Below are 18,479 nucleotides of genomic sequence, written 5' to 3'. Positions count from 1 at the left end.
TAAGTACTGTGTAAGCGTAAGCTGCTATATTTATGTGTGTATTTGAGACAGGGTATAACTCTGTTGCCCAGGCTGGAGTGCAGTGGCATGATCTCAGCTCATGGCCACCTCCACCTCACAGGCTCAATTGATTATCCTACCTTAGCCTCCTGAGTAGCTGCAACTATAGGTGCATGCCACTGTGCCTGGCTACTTTTTGTATTTTTTATAGAGACAGGGTTTCACCATGTTGCTCAGGCTGGTCTTGAACTTCTGGGCTAAAGTGATCTGCCTGCCTTGGCCTCCCAAAGTGCTGAGATAACAGGCATGAGTCACCGCGCCGGCCCAGTTATTTTCATTCTTATGATTGTCCCAGTTCCATGGCTGTTTAAGTGGCATAGGGGGGCAGGAGCCCAGCCATGACATCCAGGGCGGGTTGGTTGGTTTGTTTCTCCCTACTCTACCCCCAACTCAGGGTGTGGTCTACAGACCAGTGCTGGTTTGCAATCTTCTGGTTCCTGGTCTGTGATGAAGTAAGCAAGCACAGAGATTGAGTGTTTAGCAACCTTTAGAGCAACTTGACCTTGCTAGTACTCATTGAACAGGTATAGACTGCTTCAGTGTTGTCAGATCACGTGGTGAGTGGTGTGTAGTGTGAGCTGCAGGTAAGTCATCAATAGAAGGATGATGTGATTGCAAATAAAAAAGTGGAGCTCTGGGCCAGGCGCGGTGGCTCATACCTGTAATCCCAGCACTCTGGGAGCCTGAGTCAGGTGGATCACCTGAGGTCGGGAGTTCAAGGCCAACCTGGCCAACATAGTGAAACCCCATGTCTACTGAAAAATATAAAAATTAGCTGGGCATGGTGGTACGTGCCTGTACTTCCAGCTGCTCGGGAGGCTGAGATAGGAGAGTCGCTTGAACTGGGGAGGTGGATGGTGGAGTGAGCCAAGATTGTGCCACTGCACTCCAGCCTGGGCAACAGAGTGAGACTCCATCTCAGGAAAAAAAAAAAAAAAAAAAAAAGTGGAGCGCAGCACTGTTGCTGCCCATCCTGAACAGTCGACCTCCTTGGGAGGAGCCTCAGCCAGTGGGAGAAGGTGGGATTGATGGCATTTTGTAGGCCAGTGCATGACATTTGTGTTCCAGAAGTCCCTGACGATTCAAGAAAGTGAGGCCTCACAGTGGAGACTTATCAATGAGCAGTTGTTTCCATTTCACACCAGTGATGCTTACGGTACAAGTGCTTTTCCTGCCATTCCCTTAGCAGGTACGGTTCAGTCAGGTTTGGTAAGAATCCATACTGGAACACAACCTTGAGCTCGATCCTGTTTCACCTCTTAGACTGGTGGGAACTAGAAAGCTGGATGCTGCCTATCAGCAGTGGGTGTGGGGATGCAGGAACTCTTGCCTTTGCAGTTGCAGCTGTCCTGGAGCCTCTGGCAGGGTACCAGCAAAGCCCTGACCCAGAAGCCCCTCCCATGGGTGTCAGTTCCCCAGGTTCTCATGCAGGTCCTAAGGGGAAGGTCCAGGGTGTTCACTGCAGTGTTGTTTGTGGTGGTGAGGTAGAGCTGGATGTCCATTCCTGCAGAGCAAATGGGTATAATGGGTGGGTATGAGTCTGTAGTCCCTTGCAGCAATTCCAAGTGACTGGTGAGAAGCACACGTGGCAGGCAGCATGATGTATTTAAATGCACAGTGCTCAGTGAAAACATAAGAAATAGAGCATGGATGGTGCAGTGCTATTATGTAGATTGCTGATATAGAACAATACCCATCTTGCAAGAATATGAACAGATTAACACAAGAGAATGGTTGACTGTGGGTGAGGGGAGGGAAATGGGAATAAAAGGAAATAAATAAGACGAGAGAGAGAAGAGGAAATAAATACATCTCTTTCCCATCCTAGTGCTGTCTTTGAGGGGAGGGTCTTGGCTGTGCTCCATCACTCAACTCTGTGGCACCTTGTGCCTTGGCTGAGCTGGCAACCTCAGGCAGGTCGTTCACCCAGAAATGGTCTTGGTAAAGAGTTACCCATGCTGTTACATAGCTGTTAAGGTCACCAGGTGGGGAGGGACAACTTCAGGTCATGTGATAGTTGACACAGCAGGGACAAGGGTGTTTTTAACGTAGGGACAAGGATGATTAGCTAGGTGATTGTGGAAGGAAGAGGTGCGCAAACACTTGATTTAAAGATGGCATTGTGAATATGCATCAGCAGTGCTTGTAAAAACCCATATTCTCATCTTGGCCATAGTGGAAAAAGTATGAATGGTCTAGGAAAACAACCACTCCATTCCACGTGTTTATTGAGCTTGTGATACTACATAAGACAGGAAGATGGGCTGGATGAGGTGACTCATGCCTGTAATCCCAGCACTTTTGGAGGCCGAGGTGGGAGGATCGATTGAGCCCAGGAGTTTGAGACCAGCCCGGGCAACACAGTGACAACTCATCTCTATGAAAATATTTTTAAAAATGACAAGGAGCCAGGAGAGTTTTTTTTTTTTTTTTGAGATGAAGTCTCGCTCTTGTCGCCCAGGCTAGAGTGCAGTGGCGCGATCTCGGCTCACTGCAACTTCTGCCTCCCGGGTTCAAGTGATTCTCCTTCCTCAGCCTCCCGAGTAGCTGGGATTACAGGCACCTGCCACCACACCCGGCTAATTTTTGTATTTTTAGTAGAGATGGGGTTTCACCATGTTGGTCAGGCTGGTCTCAAACTCCTGACCTCAGGCAATCCACCCGCCTCAGCCTCTCAAAGTGTTGGGATTACAGGCCTGAGCCACCGCGCCCGGCCGGAGCCAGGAGATTTTACCTTCAGGAAAGTAAAACTCTGCTCAGGATTAGGAGCAACATGTTTTTGTTTTTTTTTTTATTTGGAAGAACAGGATGTTTAATTTGACTTACAGTTCCACATGGCTGGGAGGTCTCATAATCATGGCAGAGGGCAAAAGGCACTGCTTACAATGTGGCAGCAAGAAAGAATGAGGAAGAAGCAAAGGCGGAAACCCCTGATAAACCCATCAGATCTCCCGAGACTTACTATCACAAGAATAGCATGGGAAAGACCGGCCCTTATGATTCAGTTACCTCCCCGTAAGTCCCTCCCACAACACGTGAGAATTCTGGGACATATAATTCAGTTGAGATTTGAATAGGGACACAGCCAAATCATTATCATTCCACCCCTGGCCCCTCCAAATCTCAGGTCCTCACATTTCAAAACCAATCATGCCCTCCCAACAGTCCCCCAAAGTCTTAACTCATTTCAGAATTAATCCAAAAGTCCACAGTCCAAAGTCTCATCTGAGACAAGGCAAGTCCCTTCCGCCTATGAACAGTTCCACATGGCTGGGGAGGTCTCATAATCGTGGTGGAGGGCAAAAGGCACTTCTAACATGGTGGCAGCAAGACAGAATGAGAGGAGCAACATGTTCTTTTTCCTTTTGTTGAGATGGGGGTTTTGCCATGTTGCCCAGGCTGAAGTGCAGTGGCCATTCATAGGCGTGATCATTGTGCACTACAGCCTCAAACTCTTGGACTCAAGTTATCCTCCCACTGATCCTCCCACTGCAGCCTCCTGAGTAGCTGAGATACAGGTGCACACCACCACACTTGACTTAGAGCAGCCTTTTAATTGCCAGAAACCACTGTTAAGGAATTGCGAGAGCTCTTGTTTTCTGGGAATATTCAAGTAGAACCTCAGCCATGTCAGGGAAGGAGTTCTATCACCTTCATGGTGTATGTAGATGCCATCTGCAGTCCTTCCTGCACTAATTGAAGTGGGCTCCAAGTTTTAGGTCTGATGCTGTAACAGGCAGAATATCCCTTATCCAAAATACTTAGGACCAGAAGTATTTCCGATTTTTGATTATTTTTGGATTTTGGAATATTCCCATATACATAATGAGATATCCTGGGGATGGGACCGAAGTCTAAACATGAAATTCATTTATGTTTCATATATACCTTCTACATATAGCTTAAAAGTGATTTTTTTTTTTTTTTTTTTTGAGATGGAGTTTCAAAACAGAGTCTCACTCTGTTGCCCAGGCTGAAGTGCAGTGTCACGATCTCGGCTCACCGCAACCTCTGCCTCCCAGGTTCAAGCGATTCTCCTGCCTCAGCTTCCCCAGTAGCTGGGATTACAGGTGCCCACCACCATGCCCGGCTAATTGTATTTTTAATTTTATTTTTCTTTTTTATTTTTTTTTTTGAGACAGAGTCTCACTCTATCACCCAGGCTGGAGTGCAGTGGTGCAATCTCAGCTCACTGCAACCTCTGCCTCCCGAGTTCAAGCAGTCCTCCTGCCTCAGCCTCCCGAGTAGCTGGGACTACAGGCACGTGCCACCACGCCCGGCTAATTTTTGTATTTTTAGTAGAGACGGGGGTTCTCCATATTGGCCAGGCTGGCCTCGAACTCCTGACCTCAAGCAATCCGCCTGCCTCGGCCTCCCAAAGTGCTGGGATTACAGGCGTGAGCCGCTGCGCCCGGCTGCTTAATGGTGATTTTATACACTATTTTAAATAATTGTGTGTATGAAACAAAGTGTATGTACATTGAACCATCAGAATGCAAAGGTGTTACTATCTCATGTTGATGCTCTGAAAGTTTGGGATTCTGGAGCATTTTGGATTTTTGAATGAGGGATGCTCAATGGCTCGTTTATTTATTTATTTATTTTTTGAGACGGAGTCTCGCTCTGTCGCCCAGAATGAGGGATGCTCAATGGCTCGTTTATTTATTTATTTATTTATTTATTTATTTTTTTATTTATTTTTTGAGATGGAGTCTCGCTCTGTCGCCCAGACTGGAGTGCAGTGGTACGATCTCGGCTCACTGCAAGCTCCGCCTGCTGGGTTCACGCCATTCTCCTGCCTCAGCCTCCCGAGTAGCTGGGACTACAAGCGCATGCCACCACGCCTAGCTAATTTTTTGTATTTTTAGTAGAGATGGGGTTTCACCATGTTAGCCAGGATGGTCTCGATCTCCTGACCTCATGATCCGCCCACCTCGGCCTCCCAAAGTGCTGGGATTACAGGTATGAGCCACCGCGCCCGGCCCTCAATGGCTCGTTTTTAATGGGAGCACAGTCTTGCCTGATTGAGATTTATGTCACCAGTTCTTCTTGATTGGAGATGTAGAGATTTCCCATTTTTTCTGTACTTACAATGCTGCGGTGCATCACCTCATGCTATAGATCTTTGTATGCTTCTTTATTTTCTCAGGATGAATTCCTAGAAGTGGTGCTGTTGGGTCAAAGGGTGTGGACTTTGAACGGCTGTTGATACAAATTGCTGGGCTGAAACAGCAGTCCTGGGTTCACGCTTGGGGTTCCCCGGGTGCAGTCTTTGGATTGGCTTTTTCAGAGTCACTGGGGAAGCTTCTGAAAGATTAAACCCCTTGGCCTCACCCTAGGTCTGTGAATCAGAACCTGGGTGTGGGCTGGACCCCAGGGGTTCCTTTTACTCGGTGTTTGGGAAATAGGCACGGCATCTCCTCAGTGTCCAAGCCTGTCCTGGAAGGGAGACAGAGACCACACCTGTCTGTTCCCTCTAAGGGAGAGCTGTGGTGTGAGTGCAGCTCGGTGGCAGCGAGTGAGAGGAGCTCAGTTTAGGGACTTGGCTCTGGGTGTCACTTTGTTCCTCTGTAAAGTGGGAGTGGCCTTGGGGAGTCTAATGTGCTAATACCAGCATACGAGTGAGTATTTCTCTTACTAATGTCATAAGATGAGAAGGATCTCATAGTTGGCTTTCTGGCTGGGCCAGGCCAGATCTGGGAAGAGTGTGCAGGGAGAAGTGGGTCAGGACAGAGAGCTCGTCTTTCCAGCCCTTCCCCAGGGGGACCTTGGGCTGCTCCACCGTTGGAGCCGGGTGCTGTTGGCTCAGGCCCACTGTGGGTCCTGGCGTCCTTATGTCCAGGTCAGCAAAGAGGAGCTGCTTTTGCCAGGGGTTGCTGCATCCTGTGCCTAGAAGTGAGAGTGCCAGGAGGCTGGGGTGTGGGCTTCCCAGCCATTGTCTGCAGTGCGGGAAGGAGGCCCCAAGGTGCCTCCCCACCCGTCAGCGTGGACCGCAGAAGTCACGGATGCTGCCTTTCTGATGCGATGCAGCAGTCTTTCCTCAGAGGGCCATAGCTGCACTGTGTGGATGTGCTACTTCCTGACACCGGCGTTAGTCCAGATGGGTTTGCTCAGGTGCACCCAGCCAAGGGGTAACTCTTTGCCAGGTGTAACCTCCAGGATGCTACTGTAGATGGGCTGTTTACCAGTTGTCCCTGTAAAGGTCAAGTCTGCTCTGACGGCCCTGTTTCTTGGTCTGTAAGTCAGAAGGAACATCATTTATTCACTTCTTCAAGTAAACGTACTGTGCTGTAGTAGTCAGGATGAATGGTCCACATTAGGGAGCAGACGGCAGCACAGCTGACTTGGGGACTGATAAGTTGTGCCTTGCTGTGGGCGCTTGGGAAACACATCCAAGGAAAGGGATTGTTTTTCTTTTTTCTTCTCTTTTCTTTTTTTTTTTTTTTTTGAGATGGAGTTTCACTCTGTCACCCAGGCTGGAGTGCAATGGCGCGATCTTGGCTCACTGCAACCTCTGCCTCCCGGGTTCAAGCCATTCTCCTGCCTCAGCCTCCCAAGTAGCTGGGACTATAGGCGTGCACCACCATGCCCGGCTTGCTTGCTTGCTTATTTATTTATTTATTTACTTGAGACGGAGTCTCGCTCTGTCACCCAGGGTGGAGTACAGTAGCACGATCTTGGCTCACTGCAACCTCCGCCTCCCGGGTTCAAGCAATCCTCCTGCCTCAGCCTCCTGAGTAGCTGGGATTACAGGCTCATGTCATCACATCTGGCTAATTTTTATATTTTTAGTAGAGATGGGGTTTTACCATGTTGGTCAGGCTGGTCTCAAACTCCTGACCTCGTGATATGCCTGCCTCGGCCTCCCAAAGTGCTGGGATTACAGGTGTGAGCCACTGTGCCCAGGCTTTATTTTTGTATTTTTAGTAGAGACGGGGTTTCACCACGTTGGCCAGGCTGGTCTCAAACTCCTGACCTCAAGTGATCCACCCGCCTTGGCCTCCCAAAGTGTTAGGATTACAGGCGTGAGCCACCATGCCCAGCCAAAGGGGATCGTTTTTCTCTTATGGAAGGGGGCCCCGGGGTGAAGGTCTGTCTCCTGAAGGAGATAACTTGAGAGCAGAGCTTTCTGGGCTGAGTAGAAGTTCATTAGGTGATAGGTAGGTGCGTTCCAGGCAGGAGAAGCAGAAGCGTGAGGATATGCATTAATGTAGGACACAGCCAGGTGTGCCAGGTGACCATGGGCACCGTGGTGACTGGACAGTGGCTGGGTCAGGGAGGGGTTGCAGGAGATGACCTGGAGAGGAGGTAGAGGCTGTGCCAAGGACCCAGCCTTGTGGCCTCCCAGATCTGGCCTCCAAATCTGCTTCTGTTTCTGAGCTGTGACGCTTAGGTAAGTTGCCTAGTGTCTTGGAGCCTCAGCTTCCTCACCTGTAAGATGCAAGCAATAAGACGAATTTTAGAGGGAGTTATTAAATGATATAATATATATACACTGTAGAGCAGAGAACTTGACACATAGTCAAATGTTCACTAAGTGTTTATCTCTTCCTTTTAAAGTCTGGGGTAAGGCTTTTTGACTTTAGGCCAGAGGGAGCCGTAGAAGGTTGTGGAGGATGAAATTGATAAGATTATATCCATTTGCTGTTATGTTTGGGTGTTGGTGTTGTGTGGAGGATACTGGTCCAAGATAAGGATGAGTGAGGAGTGAGAAGAGCCTTCCTCTTTCATGGTCTCTTTCTGGTTTTCTCGTCAGCCATCTCCAGTGGGCGGCAGGGATGGCTTGCCAAGGCTCTGAGCTGAAGTTTTGGAGGAAGAGGCCAGGGTTTAAAATGTGTCCCTGGTGAGCCAGCTACCCCTGAGCGAACCTATAGGAGTGGACACTTGCTGAGCACAAGTCTGGTCATGAGAAAGTGGAATGAGTATGAGGAGAGGGGCAGAAAGCTGGGCCTTGAGCCTGTGGAACTGTGCATTGTAGTGTAGCCATAGAAAGCATTTGTTGACCACTCATGTGTGCCCCGGGAGGTTGCAAGGATCATCTCATCCCAGCAACTCTAAGATGAAGGCCACTACTCTCCTCATTTTACAGATGAGGGAACTGAGGCATAGAGAGAGTAAGTCACTTGCCCAGAGTCCCAAGCCAGTGAGTCGGGATTTTGCCCTTGGCTGTTGGAATCCTGAGGGCACGCCCATTGTACTGGGGTGGAGAATTGGAGCAGGCTTTGGGGAGTTTTCTGCTACCAGTTCCTGCTGGCAGATTTCCATTGCCCACAAGGAAGAACGCTGCAGCAGGGTGTGTTGGTCTGTGGTGAGGTGGCTGCCTCTGGAGGTGCTGAGCTCCCCCAGTCTGGGAGGGCCTGGATGGCTGCCTGGCCTGGATGCTGCCACAGCAGAGTCAGTGCCATCCTTACTAGGGAGATAGGTTACATGCTACCCTAGCCCTTGCCAACTTCAAGGCGGATGGGACCTCAGAAACCAAGCCCTGCAGGAGGGCACAGATGTGGGAGAATTCAGAGGAAAGCCATCTTCAGATTGGGCCATGAGTTGTCTGAGTACGTGGAGAGTGGCAGGTCTGGGGTGCTACCTGCTGTTTTCCAGCACTGGCTAGTTGATAACAGCTGTCCTGGGCTGCAAACCTCTTTGCCGCATCTGGGTAGGAGGAGAATCCTGGGATTGCTGCCCCGTCCCGGCGTGGGTGACTTTGGGTGAGTGCCCTCCCTTTCTGGGTCTTTGCATCTAGCATTTGGTGACCTTGCACAGCACGGAGCTTCCTCTACTTCCTTACCGCCTGCCTGGCCCTCTCAGGCATGCACAGGCCTGTCAGGAGCCAGGCCATGGAGGGGGCAGGGGCCCACTTCCTCAGGAGCACTCAGGGCAAGCCCTGACCTGAAGGGATAGACGCGGGGCCCAGCCGCGTGACTCGTGTGCCGTCAGGAGCTGCTCCTGCGCTGGTGCCAGGTGGTGTCATTGGGGTTCGGATTAAAAGATAACTCTATTGGCAGGAGGAGGCAGGCCTTTTCTGGCTTTAATAGCCAAGCCCACAGCCTGCGCCATGCAGCATCTCCCAGCCCCTGCTCCCATGTGCCTCTGCCTCTCCTTTTGCTCCCTGTGTGCCCGGAGGGCTGGCAGGGGACCCGTCCTCAGATTGTGCTGCTAGCACTGTCTCCCCTACCTTGTCCCCAGCTCCCCTCTGTGGAGAGGTTTTTAAATCCTACGAGCAATTCAGGATTTGCTTCCCTTTTTCTCTCTCCTTCTCCAAGAAAAGTGAAGTCCCAGGGAACTGCAGAGTCCACGTGTGGTAGAGGGTGGAGATGTGGAAACAGAATCCAGGTCTTTGGGGAGGCCAGGTTGATGGGGACATGCAGGGCTGCTTTGGCCTAAGCGTGGTGGCCAAGTGAGCCATGTGCCACTTGGTCACCTGCGCTGATGGAGAAGGCTGTTCTGGCTCCTGGGAGGAAGGTGCTTGTGGTAGCAGCAGCTACCCTGAGGCCAAAGCTTCCTTGAAGCCATGCTGGTCTTGAGTAGTGTTTGGTGGTCCCACACTCCTGAATGGGCAATCACAGGACTTCGGAGGGTCTCTGGGGAGCCTCAGGGGCTATGCTATCTATGGGAAAGGAGATAGAACCTGCCTGGAAATTCTACCACTCTCCAGTGACACAGAGACAAGGGGACCAGAATATTTGGATAGAATATTTTCAAACTTCATCATGTCTCCTGTGTTTGTATAGGCCCTCATTTTGGGAACCACATCCTTTTTTTTTTCTTTAATTCTACCACTAAGAAATTATATGATAGATCTTTTTCTTTTTCCTCTCTTTTCTTTTGTCTCTTTCCTATCTCCCCCTTTCCCCTTCTCTCCCTTTCCCCCCTCCCCCTCTCCTTCTCTTTCTCTTTCTCTCTTTGTAGAAATAGGGTCTCACTATGTTGCCCAGGCTGGTCTTGAACTCCTGGGCTTAGGTTATTGACCCACCTCGGTCTCCCAAAGTGCTGGGCTTACAGGCATGAGCCAACCAGATTTTTTCTTCAAGTGTTATTTTTATCTGTTTGCCTAAACATTAGTTTATTAAGAGGAAAGATTCTCTTAGGATATTTTCCCTTTTGGGGTACATGAAACATGGCAGCAGTAGCACAACATTACTCACTTGTTTTTAAATCAATTGTTAAATAGCAAAAATTATTTATTTATTTATTTATTTATTTATTTTTGGAGATGGAGTCTCTCTCTGTTGCCCAGGCTGGAGTGCAGTGGCGCAGTCTCCACTCACTGCAACCTTCGCCTCCCAGGTTCAAGCTATTCTCCCGCCTCAGCCTCCTGAGTAGCTGGGTTTACAGGCATGCACCACTACATCCAGCTAATTTTTGTATTTTTAGTAGAGATGGGGTTTCACCATGTTGGCCAGACTGGTCTTGAACTCCTGACCTCAGGTGATCTGCCCGCCTCAGCCTCCCAAAGTGTTGGGATTATAGGTGTGAGCCACCATGCCTGGCTTTTTAATTTTTTGATGCCTATTTTTTTTTCCTGCAGTAAGCAACAAATATTTTATAGAATTATTTGGGCAGTGGGATTATTTTTCTTCGAATTTTCTGTTTTAAACATTTTAATGATACTTTCTTTCTCTGACATTTTGTTTTGAAAATGTTCAGATCCATCAAAGAATGGAAGGGAAAGTACGATAAACACTTGTTTAGTCGTCACCGAGACTCACCAGTGGTTAACAGCTTGCCATATTTGCTTTTTTTTTTGAGATGGAATTTCACTCTTGTGGCCCAGGCTGGAGTGCAATGGTGTGATCTCAGCTCACTGCAACCTCTGCCTCCTGGGTTCAAGCGATTCTCCTGCCTCAGCCTCTCGTCACCATGCCCGGCAAATTTTTTTGTATTTTTAGTAGAAACAGGGTTTCACCATATTTGCTGGGCTGGTCTCGAACTCCTGACCTCAGTGATCCACCCCCCCTTGGCCTCCCAAAGTGCTGGGATTACAGGAGTGAGCTACTGCGCCTGGGCCATATTTGCTTTTTTACTTTCTCACTCTGCAGATGTATCCATATAAAACTTGTTTTCCTGATTCATTTGGAAAAAAGTTGTGGACATCAGGACAGTTTACCCCTAAACCTTGAAGTATGCACAAACCAGTACATATTCCTACATGACACACCACCATTATTAGACCCAAGAACCTCAGCACTGATGCAATTATATCCTCTAGTCTATAGTTCTTCTTAAATCTCTCTAATTGCCCTATACCTGCCTTTTATAGATTTTTTAAAAATCTAGGCTCTGAAGAAACATGTTGCAACTGGTTGTTATGCTAACGTTATACTAGCCAAATAAAATCTGGATTATCCATGGTTGACAGATCTTTGTTAGAACACGTTGTTATGATATAGACATTTACACTCACTACTATTTTTTTTTTTTGAGACACAGTCTCCTGGAGTGCTGTGGCGGGATCTTGGCTCACTGCAAACTTTGCCTCTTGGGTTCAAGCAATTCTTGTGCCTCAGCCTCCTGAGTAGCTGGGATTACAGGCGTGCATCACCACGCCTGGCTAATTTTTGTTCTGAAGGTGTTCAGAGCTAAGGAGGCCAGTGACCCCACATCAAAAGGGGAAAGGAGAGAATAAGTTTCTGAGCTTTGTAAAAGATGCTACTGGTTTTTCTCTGTTTTATGTCAAATAACCTGTAACACTCCTGGCAGTGGTACATTTGAGCCCTGGGTAGAGATGGGGTTTCACCATGTTGGCCAGGCTGGTCTTGAACTCCTGACCTCAAGTGATCCGCCTGCCTCGGCCTCCCAAAGTGTTGGGATTACAGGCGTGAGCCACCGCGCCCAGCCTACGCTGACTACTGATATCCCCAGGATAGCCTTAGAATTCTTGAAACTTGGGAGGGGACTGGGAGATCTGGGGACATCTGCTATCCTTTTTTTACAGAATCTGTGGTCTGAACAGCTGAGGGACTTCTCCAGTGTCCCTGAATTGAGGTTTGCTTCTGTGTTCTGAATTTCTTCACTTACAAAATCTGACACCTTCAAGTCTGGACATTTTAAACTGTCCTGCCAAATTCTTTTCTATACTCAGGGCTCAAATGTACCATTGCCAGGAGTGTTACAGGTTATTTGACATAAAACAGAGAAAAACCAGTAGCATCTTTTACAAAGCTCAGAAACTTTTTCTCTCTTTTCCCCTTTTGATGTGGGGTCACTGGCCTCCTTAGCTCTGAACACCTTCAGAACATCAGCTAGGGTCACTGCAGACCAAAGCACAGCCAGAGGAGAAGGGAAATCCTGGGGAGGAAGGAGAAGGGGCGTGAGTAGTGAAACGGCATTGGCGGGGACAGGGTGGAGGAAGAGATGTATGATGGGCCAGGGCAGTGCTGCCCTGCGGGTGAGGGTCTGTCAGCTGAGTGCCTGCTGTGAGCCTCCCATGGGAAGCAGCCTGGGGCTGCAGAGTGAGCCCTGATGGACTTGGTCAGACTGGGGTTAAGTCCAGCAGTGTGACCTGCTCATCACTTTTCTTCCCTGAACCCATGTCCACCTCTCATAAGGTTGTATCGAAGTTCCAAGAAGAAAAGCAGAGCGAGTGCTTTGAAAGGACATAGGAAGGAAGGTGGCCCTGCCCCTCAAGACCGCTGTGCTGGGGTCTTGGCAAACCCCTTGCCCCTGGAACAGAGACCGGTACAAGACCTCTGGAGTGGATAGTGCCAGCTAGGGGAGGGCAGAGTGAGGAAAGGCCTTGTTCCCCAGGAGGAAGAGAGGTGCTGAGCTAGCAGCGAGGGCTTCTTGGAGGAGGTGAGATTTGAGTTTTTCTGGATGGGCAGAGGTGGGGAAGGGGTACGCTGGGAATCAGGGAGCAGAAAAGGTTGGGCTGCTTTGGGCAGTAGAACTCCTTGCCCATCCAGAAGATCCTAAAATAGACCAGCAGAGAGAGGGCTGCTTCCATCCTCTGTGTTTAAAAGAAAGGGTTACTTGGGATTCTGAGCTGTTCTTCCTACCCCATCAAAAAAAAAAAAAAAAAAAAAGCTTTATTCTTTGCTGACAATAAAGCATGCACATTCATGTAGAAAATTTAATTAATGAAGAAGAAAAAGAAAAGCACACAAAATCCCAGAGGCAACCCTATTAACATTGTGCTGGGGAAAAATAGAACTTTTCTTGTCTGGCAAGTGTGCTAGGTGTTATCTCATTTTAGCCTCACAAAAATCCTGGGAGGTGGGTACTTTGCTTACCCCTGTTTTAGGGGCAAGGAGAGTGAGGTGCAGACAGAGGCACAGAGTGGTTAAAGAACTTGCCCTGAGTCACACAGCTAGTCAGTGGGTAAGCTGGGATTCCCAGGCAGGCAGTTGGGCTCCAGAGCTCACACAGGTAGCCCCTCTGCAATCCTGACCCCCCTTGTAGATACCTTGCTGTTTTTGTATGTGCACGTGCAGCCTCTCACACACACAGGCTAGGGTTCAGATTCTGAGTAGGCGATAGAGATCTAAAACCACCAGGCAGTAGAAACGCACCATCTTCCACCCACAGCTTCCTATGTGAGGCCTTCCATTGGTGGCTTGGAGTTTGGGAACGGAGGTTTTGTCCACTGGCTCTGGTTCTGAGGGACAGAAAAATCAGTCCACCTGTGGGAAGGCCCCATGCGGGCCACGCGCCGGGTAGGGAGACAGTAGGGAGTGGAGAAGAGGACTCAGCTCTGGGAAGGGTTCAGGCCCAGGGAGTAGGGGGTCAAAAACTGCTGTCCCTTCCCCCATCCCCCATTGATCCAGTTTCCTCCAGGGAGAATTAGAAAACCAGGTAATGGTGTCTGCACTGACTTCTAGTCCACAGGCCGTTGGCTATGTTTTGGTTACTTTTTGCTGGTCCGTTTGAACTACTTTGGACTTATGTCATTCTGCCCCCAAGCACGGGACCGTCCAGAGCAGATGCTTCCCTATGGCATTCAGGGACTGACTATGGACTTGGCAAGTCACAGCCCAGCACTGCTGCCCATTGATACACAAGATTGGCAGGTGCTGCTGTCTGGGGCGGGCAGGGACTCCTGGAGCCCTTTGCCGTGCCCCCAACCCCTTGGCCTGGCAGGGCCACTGGAGGACAGACACTATCGATGGCCTCTCTCGACCTTGTTTTCTCTTCAGTAAAGTGGGGCTGAGATGTCTGTTCTCATTACCTAACAGGGTTATGGAGGAGTAAATGGGCTGGTGGATAAGGAAAATGTGGCAGCATTACTGGGTGGGGGCAGGGGGTCCCCAGTGAATACCTTTGTCCCCTGACAGTCCCGCTTAAGTATACATTGTGTATTAGGTCTTCAGTGCACTTTCACCTCCTTCTCTCTCTCCTTCCTTGCTGAGACACTGGTGGGTAGGTAAGGTGACGTTTCCTTCTCTCTCTCCTTCCTTGCTGAGACACTGGTGGGTAGGTAAGGTGACGTTTATTTGTCCTGCAATCAAGAATGGAAGAAACTGAGCTTCAGAGAGGGGCTGCTCTGGTGGTCAAATGGCTAGCACGCCAATGCCAATGCCAGAGGCAGGGCTGGGACTAGGCTTGGCTCCCAACCTGGGGGTGCCCTGTCCCTGCACACACAGCATACTGGCCTTGCCATTCTCCCAGTGACCCAGTACCTACTGCGTTTAGTCTGAGAGGACAGCAGGAAGCCAGTGTTCCAGATTCAGCTTTGTTTGTCCTTGGCTGGTGGCCGCCTCTCTGGTTGTTCATTTATTCAGCAATCCTTTATTTTCATTTTAAAAACTTGATTACCCTTTAAAATGGACAAATACTGTATATATTTATCATGTACACGTATTGTTTTGAAATTCAGCAATCCTTTATTGGGTGTCTCCTGGCTGCCTGGCCCTGTGAGGGAAGCTAGGGCAGCAGAGATGAAGGTACCACCCTGGTCTCCAGGAATTCACTGTCTGGTGTGCGAGGTGTCTTGTAAACAGTCATTGGCAATATAGTACACAGGTGCAGTGTCCAAGGGGAGCAGGCTGGGGCCCTGGGAACACAGAGGCCTCAGTTTCCCCATCTGTCAAATGGGGCACTGGACTACTTTATCTTTGGGGTCCCTTCTGTTGTTGACATTCTGTGACTCTTCCTGATAACTGTGCTGTCTTACAAGTAAGAACACATCTAGTGTCAACCAAAATTTTATGATGAAAGTGCTCCCAAGTCAGATACAGAGGGAGGAGGCTGTTGCATTCCATACATGTACCTTTTCACAAACAAGTCCTCACTTTCTAATGGGCCACCTACATTTGTTTTGCATGGCCAGGCAGTGTTTTTCTCACAGGTTGCTTGACTAATGGCTGTGTGCCTGTGCCAAAAGGCTGCTTATGGGTCACGAGGTAGGGAGGGATTGAGGGCACGTGTCAGATGTGCTACTGCGATCAGAGCCAGGACTGGGTGCGATTCCATTAGCTGGGGCATCCCGGGAAGCTGGGGCATCCCAGGAAGCTGTGCCATCCCATGTTCCTAATGCCTTGTTTGGCCTGTGGGTGTGTCCGTCCTCCCGAGTCTGGGACTTGTGGGGACCATAAATGCAGATGATGAGGGCAGGGTGCTGTGATCCCTGGGGGCCTGTGTCTCTGAGCCAACCTGCAGAAAGAGGCAGGGTCGAGTCTGAGAGAGGGGCAGGGCTGGGGACAGCCAGATCCCTGAGGGTTCCCCCTTTCTGGGCCTTGTGCTAGGGGACTCATTCAAAGTTATACAGCCAGCAAGCAGCAGAGCCGGATGGCTCCGGAGTCAGTGTTCCCGCATGCAGAATGTGAGCTTTTCAGCACACCAGCCCTCAGCCACCTGCTGTGGGAGAAAGTGTTTGAGATGAAGTGCTGAGGGGCTGCATTTTCAGTAGGATCCAGCGACCTTTTTTTGTGATGTCCTGTGGGAGTGATGTGTAGCGGGGTTGGAGGGAATGTGGCTTTTGGGAATGAGCTGAGCTGAATTGTTGCTTTCTTCTCGTGTGTGTGTGTGTGTGTGTGTGTGTGTGTGTGTGTGTGTGTCTGTTGGGGGACAGAGGTGAGCTCACCAGCCTATGAATAATGAGCTGTGTGAGGTGACAGCTGCTCACAGAACAAAGAGACATGGAGACTCACCACCTTCCCTCCTTTGTTAAGTCCTTACTGTGTCCCAGTCACTGCTGCAGTCTGTGAGATGCAGAGATAAACCAAAGCCTCATCCTTGAGAAGTCCTCAGCAGGACCACATCTGCAGTTTGCAGTTTGCAGGCCCAGTGCAAAATGAAAATTGGGAGCTCCTTGCGGCACATAAATCATTGAGGATTTCACGATGGCAACAGCAGAGTGCGAAGCCAATTGTGAGCCTTGTGAGACTGCACAAGGTCACACATCCATGAAACCACCCTGACCCCAGCCTCATAGGTGAAGCCAGGCCTAGTAGACATCAGCTAGAACCATAGGGAGGCATGCATAGGGAGATAGGGGAGCAGGTCATTCCTGGGTAGGGGGATCTGGGAAACTCCTCGGAGAGGTCTCATTTGAGCTGGGCCTGAAGGGTCGGTTGGGATGTTGGTAGAGGCAGTAGTGATGGTGGAATCAGAAAACTGAATGGGAACACCTGGGAATGGGCTGGGTGTGATAAGCAAGTGGCACTATAGTCTGGCCAGAAGTGTGGGTGGTAGAAGGGGGAGCCCTGGGAGGGTGTGGACAGGTTAGGCTGGGCCCATGGAGACCCTCCAGTGCCAGCTTCCAGGCAGGTTTTATTCTGCGGCTGGAGAGCTGGGGACTCCTGGAAGCTCAGAGATGGTACAGGGCTGGGCTCTGGGAAGCTCCCTCTGGAGGTGGCACTCGCTGATATTCCAGTAGCTCAGAATAACTACTCCAGCGCTACCTTGAGACATCCAAGTGTAAAGCATAATTATTTACAGGCATGCGCCACTATGCCCAGCTAATTTTGTATTTTTAGTAGAGATGGGGTTTCTCCATGTTGGTCAGGCTGGTATTGAACTCCCGACCTCAGGTGATCTGCATGCCTCGGCCTCCCAAAGTGTTGGGATTACAGGCGTGAACCACCGTGCCCGGCCGTAAAGTGTAATTATTGACCTCATCCTCTGTGTGCCATTATAGAGGAGGAATCAGAGGTGCAGAGAGGTATTATGTACCTTGCCCGTGGTGGTAAATGGCAAACCTGGGACCCTAGAGACCCAAGGTGAATCGTGGGGTGGATGAGATGAGTTGAGCTATGAGAGGTGTGGCCACATCGTGGCAGTGGAGAGGAAGTGACGAGCACAAGAGGCTTGGAGGTAGGACAGGTAGACCTTGGCTGCTGATGGGCTCAAGAGCGCCCTCCAGCTGAAGACATCCTGCTGCAGCTCAGCATCCGTGTTGGCAGGGGCATCCCTCTTTGAGAAGCTGCTTGCCGTTCTCATTGGTAAATCCTGCTAGCTGTTGTCTATAGGTTTTTGGCCCCAATCTGCCTCTAAGTTTCCCCTTTTCCTCATCACCACCTTTTGGGCATGTTGTATTTTTTTTCTTCTTGCAACTCTTGGTTCTTCCCTGCCTTCCACATTTGTTGTGGCTTTGTGCTGAGTACAGTGGTTCAGGTATGGTCAGAGCAGCTGGGGTAGATGGAACTGACTTCAGTATATCTCAGTGGATGCTCTTGGCTTTGGGATCTTCTGCACTTTTGGGATGCTCACCATCTCTGGCTCCCACCTACAGTGCCCCTCCCTATCATTGTGTCCACCGTACCATGTCTCCACACATTTCCAAATACTTCCTAGGATGGTTGTCAACCACTGGCTCAATTCTCAGATTACTCCTGGGATAGGTTCTAGCCTCCTCCTTGTAACACCTTTTCTTTTCTTGCCCTCCAATGTCAGAGGGTGCAGTGCTTAGCATAAAGATACGGAGGCAGATGAAGTAGCCTGTGACCCTGCCTAACCCCTTCTTGGGTCTGGAACCTGCATTCTGTCCATTCTCCCAGCCTAGCAGGTGACCTGCTGGAGCTCAGTAACTCGACACCGCCTTGCTAATTGTCTGCTGAGGTCACAGTGAGCTCTTGTCACCGCCCATCCAGCAGGACCACAGTCCCCGACTGGGTTGACTGGTTCAGCCACTGTTCTGGACACTCATGGGAAACAAGTGGCCTTTGTCATGAGCTGGTGGACAGAGTGCGCTGTCAGCACGGGTGAGGGCTGGATACCCAGAGTTTTTGGGGAAGGCTGCACCCAGGGCAGCCAGCTCAGAGCTGGGAGGCCCAGAACAGACCTCATTTTCTCTGATAATGGGGAGCACAGAGTTGCAGAGACTTTTTTTTTTTTTTTTCCCTAGTGACTTGTGTCAACAGACTTCATTGGTTCTGCTTGGCAGAGGCCTGGGAGGTTACCTGTGGGCTTGTGAGGCCTGGGAGTTTACCTGTGGGCTTGTGAGGCCTGGGAGGTTACCTGTGGGCTTGTGAAGCCTGGGAGGTTAC

General features: G+C 49.9%; 1 protein-coding gene and 1 long non-coding RNA gene across 11 annotated transcripts in view, besides 5 other annotated features; one reads left to right on the top strand and one right to left on the bottom strand.

Annotated features, from left to right (window-relative positions):
* DLG5 (discs large MAGUK scaffold protein 5) overlaps positions 1 to 18,479 on the top strand; it is a 149,946-nt gene that overhangs the window by 33,114 nt on the left and 98,353 nt on the right. Inside the window, exon 1 of one of the 9 annotated variants that reach the window (XM_011540342.2) lies at positions 18,122 to 18,194. The exons of the other annotated variants lie outside the window; for them this stretch is intronic. Coding sequence (XP_011538644.1) covers positions 18,161 to 18,194 — 34 coding nt within the window. The 5' untranslated portion in view covers positions 18,122 to 18,160. Of the gene's footprint in view, positions 1 to 18,121; positions 18,195 to 18,479 lie in introns of those variants that run through there. 9 annotated transcript variants of the gene reach the window in all.
* Positions 198 to 492: an enhancer, noted in NCBI's record as "tiled region #4447; K562 Activating DNase matched - State 5:Enh". NCBI's record gives its function as "activates a minimal TATA promoter and a strong SV40 promoter by Sharpr-MPRA in K562 cells {active_cell/tissue: K562}" and the evidence as "EXISTENCE:reporter gene assay evidence [ECO:0000049][PMID:27701403]".
* Positions 5,411 to 5,938: an enhancer, noted in NCBI's record as "H3K27ac-H3K4me1 hESC enhancer chr10:79661443-79661970 (GRCh37/hg19 assembly coordinates)". NCBI's record gives its function as "activates a minimal SCP1, AML or CMV promoter by ChIP-STARR-seq in naive H9 embryonic stem cells {active_cell/tissue: H9 hESC(naive)}" and the evidence as "EXISTENCE:reporter gene assay evidence [ECO:0000049][PMID:30033119]".
* Positions 5,939 to 6,466: an enhancer, noted in NCBI's record as "H3K27ac-H3K4me1 hESC enhancer chr10:79660915-79661442 (GRCh37/hg19 assembly coordinates)". NCBI's record gives its function as "activates a minimal SCP1, AML or CMV promoter by ChIP-STARR-seq in naive H9 embryonic stem cells {active_cell/tissue: H9 hESC(naive)}" and the evidence as "EXISTENCE:reporter gene assay evidence [ECO:0000049][PMID:30033119]".
* On the bottom strand, positions 7,417 to 17,244 carry LOC101929347 (uncharacterized). Of its 2 annotated transcripts, XR_007062208.1 has the most exons (5): positions 16,143 to 16,230; positions 14,677 to 14,809; positions 14,312 to 14,491; positions 13,566 to 13,651; positions 7,417 to 7,491 (listed from the first exon to the last, which is right to left on the bottom strand). It is a non-coding gene; the product is annotated as an uncharacterized LOC101929347 (long non-coding RNA). The 2 variants fall into 2 exon arrangements; XR_007062209.1 differs by lacking the exons at positions 7,417 to 7,491; positions 16,143 to 16,230 and adding an exon at positions 17,167 to 17,244 and having other exon boundaries at positions 12,525 to 13,651.
* Positions 15,125 to 15,798: an enhancer, noted in NCBI's record as "H3K27ac-H3K4me1 hESC enhancer chr10:79651583-79652256 (GRCh37/hg19 assembly coordinates)". NCBI's record gives its function as "activates a minimal SCP1, AML or CMV promoter by ChIP-STARR-seq in primed H9 embryonic stem cells {active_cell/tissue: H9 hESC(primed)}" and the evidence as "EXISTENCE:reporter gene assay evidence [ECO:0000049][PMID:30033119]".
* Positions 17,149 to 17,824: an enhancer, noted in NCBI's record as "H3K4me1 hESC enhancer chr10:79649557-79650232 (GRCh37/hg19 assembly coordinates)". NCBI's record gives its function as "activates a minimal SCP1, AML or CMV promoter by ChIP-STARR-seq in primed H9 embryonic stem cells {active_cell/tissue: H9 hESC(primed)}" and the evidence as "EXISTENCE:reporter gene assay evidence [ECO:0000049][PMID:30033119]".

The sequence above is a fragment of the Homo sapiens genome, chromosome 10 (genome assembly GCF_000001405.40).
Source record: "Homo sapiens chromosome 10, GRCh38.p14 Primary Assembly".
Classification (NCBI taxonomy): domain Eukaryota; kingdom Metazoa; phylum Chordata; class Mammalia; order Primates; family Hominidae; genus Homo; species Homo sapiens.
The sequence above is the reverse complement of the archived record's forward strand: the minus strand, read 5'-3'. Positions and strand labels throughout refer to the sequence as shown.